Here is a 5,266-nt window from a genome sequence, read left to right as displayed (position 1 = left end):
TATCTTTGCTGTTTTGCATTGTTTCAGGCAAGGTAAGAGAGGAGGTATTCTGCTAGCAAAGAGGCAAAGATGGGTAGGTCATAGAGATTCTTTTATTCTACTAAGATGCATGACCATACTGTGGAATTCCACTTTTCTTTTCCTGGTTGACTCAAACCTGGGTTCTTAATGTTAAATTATCCATGCGTTCATATATTATTAATTTAATTGGTAACAAATTATTAATTTTATGTATAACAAATGTATTGTAAAAGTTAACAAGTATTCATTAATGATCTGTTGTTATTAATACTTGTATTTTTGTGTTCTGTGGCTTTCTAAGGCCACTCCAGGGACATTGAGAACAATGTCTTTGCCTGCACTAAATAAATGAGCAGAACAATGGTTAATGGAGTTCTCTTTACAGGGCTCTTCTTTAATCAGCGATGTCTTTTTATTTTGGAAGGATAAAATAGCCTCTCTTTGTTATTAAGTTTAGTATCCCTATTTTTGCCCTAAATTATATTGGTCTTTGAGATTTCAATATGGACCATAATTATATGTATTTGTTGGTATTCAATATGCTTCACATATTCAATTTGCTTCACATTTTAAATGCAATTTCTTACTAAGACATTCTACAGGAGATTCATTTTTCAGCCCCTCTATGTAAATATTCAAAAAGACACTCTTGATCCTAATCCATAGAATCATAAAATCATGCCTTGTAGATTCATACTTCAGGATAATGAAGATAGTGAGTGATCTGAAATAAATCACACCTGGGACTATAGACAAGCACCACCACACTTGCATTTAGGCCAAGGTGGGAAGATCACTTGAGGCCAAGAGTTCAAGTCCAACCTGGGAAACATAGTGAAACTCTATCCCTTAAAAATAAAAATAGATGGACAGGTGCGGTGGCTCACGCCTGTAATCCCAGCACTTTAGGAGGCTGAGGTGGGTGGATCATCTGAGGTCAGGGGTTCAAGACCAGCCTGGCCAACATGGTGAAACCCCATCTCTACAAAAATATAAAAATTAGCCAGGCATGATGGTGGGTGCCTGTATCGGGAGGCTGAGGCGGGAGAATTGCTTGAACCCAGGAGGCGGAGCTTGCAGTGAGCCAAGTTCGCGCCATTGCACTCCAGCCTGGGTGACAGAGTGAGACTCTGTCTCAAAAAACAAATGAATAAATATTTAAAAAATAGGTTAAAATAAATAGATTTTAAAAATTTAAATGTATTTACCATTTGACAAAAATGTATATATTAGTTGTGTACAGCATGATGTTTTGATATTTGTATACATTGTGGGGTGACTAAATAAAGCTAATTAACTTATTTATGACCTCATATGCTGTGTGTTTTTGTGTAGTGTGAATAATAGATTTTGAGCAATTGATGGGGCAACTGGGCATTTTTTCATCCGTGCTGGCTCCTGGTCAGTCATGTTATATTTCCAGAGCACTAATAATGCTGTATCAGGGCCCTCAAGCTCCACAATGGAAGGCTGGGATTTTTAGGATGGTGAGTAAGGCTGTAATTTACCTTCAGTCACTTCCTTCAACCTTATGTCCAGCTCATACACAGATGACAGTAGTCATCCACCAAGACCTCAATCCCTGAATTTACAAGAGAAGAATGACAATGTCTATGGAAAAAGTTATTCAATTGCTTTTAATCCCCAACTGAGCATGGGGAATGGGGTTCTTTATGTTGGATGTATGCACAACAAAGGAAATTGTATTAGTTCGTTCTCACAGTGCTATAAAGAACTACCTGAGACGGGGTAATTTATAAACAAAAGAACTTTAATTGACTCACAGTTCCACAGGCTTAACAGAAAGCATGACTGGGGGCCTCAGGAAACTTACAATCATGGCAGAAAGCTAAGGGGAAGCAAGCACCCTCTTCACATGGCGGCAGGAGAGAGAGAGAGAGCAAAGGGGAAAGTGCTACATACTTTAAAACCATCAGGTTCCGTGAGAACTCACTCATTATCATGAGACCAGCAAAGGGAAAGTGCACCCCCGTGATCCAATCACCTCCCACCAGATCCCTCCCTCAACACTGGGAATTACAATTTGACATGAGATTCAGGTGGGGACACAGAGCCAAACCATATCAGGAATGAATTGAGGATCAAGTGGACATACTTATGGCAAAAACACCTGCAGAGCAGTAAGACAGTTCCCCGAGCAAGCCACCAGTCTTTGATTATATCTTCTTTGAACTCAAATGTTTTTGTCAGTGACTATCACAGTAGCTGAAAGATTGTTGAGTCAGAAAACAGATTAGTGGTTGTCAGGGCTGGAGGGAGAGTGTATGGGAAGTAACTACTTAATGGGTACTGGGTTTCTGTGTGATGATGAAAATATTCTGAAGTTAGATAGTGGTGATGGTTGTAAAACTCTGAACATAGAAAAAACCATCGAACTGTATACTTTGAAAGGTTGAACGTTATGGTCTATGAGTTATACTCTTAAAAAAGCCTCTAAACTTTTAAACATTTAAATCTGTTATTTCTAATGTATTAAATTGTTAAAATATATGATGCTGTTAAATTCTAGAAACCAACAATCTTACAAAATTAAATTAAAATTTAATGGTTTAGTCAACATTTTATTCTTTAAAAATTTTGATATCAAAGGAAGGTTTTTCAGGAATGGGAGTATTTGATCAAGGAATCATATTTGGAAGGCTGGACATTCTCCAGAGATGTTAATTTTGACACTAAATCTTCCCCTAAAAGGAAATCCAAATAGAAATTTGTAGTTGGCAAATCTTGAGCCTGCATCTAAGTATAAGAATATTCTCGGGCCAGGCATGGTGGCTTACGCTTGTAATCCCAGCACTTTGGGAGGCTGAGGCGGGCAGATCACAAGGTCAGGAGCTGGAGACCATCCTGGCTAACACAGTGAAACCCCGTCTCTACTAAAAACTACAAAAAATTAGCTGGGCATGGTGGCGGGCGCCTGTAGTCCCAGCTACTCGGGAGGCTGAGGCAGGAGAATGGCATGAACCCGGGAGGCGGACCTTGCAGTGAGCTGAGATTGTGCCACTGCACTCCAGCCTGGGTGACAGAGCAAGACTCCGTCTCAAAAAAAAAAAAAAAAAAAAAAAAAAGAAAAGAAAAGAATATTCTCCCTTAATAAAAAAATTGTATACATGCATTTTGAAAAACAGCTTCAGCTCACATGGCCAGAATATATTGCAGAAGCAAGTGCCATAAATTTACTTGTATGGTAAGCTCCTTAAGACTGAAAGAAATAAAATCATATGTTTTCTGTTGTTTAGAATGGTTGTATTTAGAATCATGCATAATACTCATAAAAACTCTAAATTCCAGTTAATTTTTTAAGTCCTACTTCATAGTATAGGTTGAATGGAAACTAAGGTGATTCAGCCGTTAATGTTCCAAAATACCACCATGAGTAAGATGCTATGAATTGGTCTTTTCCCCAAATTGATGTTTAGTGCCCATTACGCTTAATTTCACCTAGTTCTTTGTGTCACCTTGTCAACAAATATCCAAGACAATAGTAGTAGAGAAATAATTCTCCCTCCCTCCCTCTCTCTCTCTGTCTCTGACTCTTTTTTTCTCTCTTCTCTTATGGTATCTTACTTGGCAAACAACTTAGGATTTCATAACCATACACACTTATTCCTATACTAGGCAGTGAAGAGGAAGAATAGAGGAAGGTTAAAGCCCTTCAAAATCTCATATTATTTTAAAAGTGCAGGCCCAGTGAGCTGGCTCGCACCTGTAATCCCAGTACTTTGGGAACCCAAGGCAGGAGGACCACTTGAGCCCAGGAGCACAAGATCAGCTGGGGCAACATAGTAGACCCCTTCTCTGCAGAAAATAGAATAAATTAGCTGGGTGTGGTGGTGCCCTCCTGTACTTCCAGCAACTTGGGAGGCTCAGGTGGGAGGATCACTTGAGCTAGGAGATGGAGGCTGCAGTGATCTTTGATCGCACCACTGCCCTCTAGCCTGGGCGACAGAGCAAAATCGTATGTTCAATAAATAAGCAAAGAGGTCTTTCACACAGATAATCTCATCTGGTTCCCATTTTACAAATGAGAAAATTGAAATCCAGGGCAATTAAATGCCGTACTGTTGGTGGTTCTCAGCAGCTCTTCACACTTTTATTCCAGCCACAGGCTTTCTTTGTAACAGCAAAAAATACATCTAATCAAATTAAATTGCTAAAGAGCACATACCACATCTTCCTCTTCTGTTGATACTTTTCCTGTGTATGCAACACTTTTTTTTCCTGCACCATGAGAGCTTGGCAAATGCTGACTGATGGAGTGCCAGGAGCTGGGAGCCCCAGTACTCAGTGGTAGAGAATGATCAACTATGTTCACGGCAGGAACATAGCTCAGATTCTCTGGGCTGTCTATCACAGGGCGCTGTTGAGGGGAACTCCATAAGCACATTGGAAATAAGATGACTTGCTAGTCTGCCAGGCCCCGTGTCTCTGGGAAGAGGCTCTCCACCACTATATCTGTAATACAGGAAGTGCCACCTTCAGCCAGTACACACTGATGAAGGCCATGTGGATGCTGAGAATCCACGCCTCACAATGGCACCTGGACTTTGACAATGTTCCATAAATAATTCTTTTCATCAACATAAGGCTCCACATTACAGACCCATAATGAAAGAGAAATTATCTCTGTGAAACAATCATTAACAAAATATTAAAGGGTTCATCTGAAGTCTAGGACAGTCACCTGTAGAGATCTAAGAGGTCACCTGCCTACAGCTGTTGTTGTTGTTTTCTTGTTTTTTTTTTTTTTTTTTAAATAAACTTATTTTAGGTTGGTGTACAGATTATTTCATCACCCAGGTAATAAGCATAGTACCCGATAGGTAGTATTTTTATTTTGACCCTCATCCCACCCTCCACCCTCAAGTAGTCCCCAGTGACTATTGTTCCCCTCTTTGTGTCCATGTGTACTAAATGTTTAGCTCCCACCTATCGGTGAGAACACATAGTATTTGGTTTTCTATTCCTGTGTTAGTTCACTTAGGGCAATGGCCTCCAACTCCATCCACGTTGCTGCAAAGGACATGATCTCGTTCTATTTTATGGCTGTGCAGTATTCCATGTTGCCTACGTACCACATTTTCTTTATCTAGTCTACCACTAATGGGCACCTAGGTTGATTCCATGTCTTTGCTATTGTGAATAGTGCTGAGATAAACATATGCGTGCATGTGTCTTTATGGTAGAATGATTTATATTCCTTTGGGTATGTACCCAATAATGGGAT

The 5,266-nt window shown here is 39.8% G+C and overlaps 1 annotated feature.

Moving 5' to 3' along the window:
• Positions 1,451–2,016: an enhancer, noted in NCBI's record as "NANOG hESC enhancer chrX:4139581-4140146 (GRCh37/hg19 assembly coordinates)". NCBI's record gives its function as "activates a minimal SCP1, AML or CMV promoter by ChIP-STARR-seq in primed H9 embryonic stem cells {active_cell/tissue: H9 hESC(primed)}" and the evidence as "EXISTENCE:reporter gene assay evidence [ECO:0000049][PMID:30033119]".

Source organism: Homo sapiens, chromosome X (assembly GCF_000001405.40).
Source record: "Homo sapiens chromosome X, GRCh38.p14 Primary Assembly".
NCBI lineage: Eukaryota > Metazoa > Chordata > Mammalia > Primates > Hominidae > Homo > Homo sapiens.
This window is presented reverse-complemented; position numbering and strand designations above follow the sequence as displayed.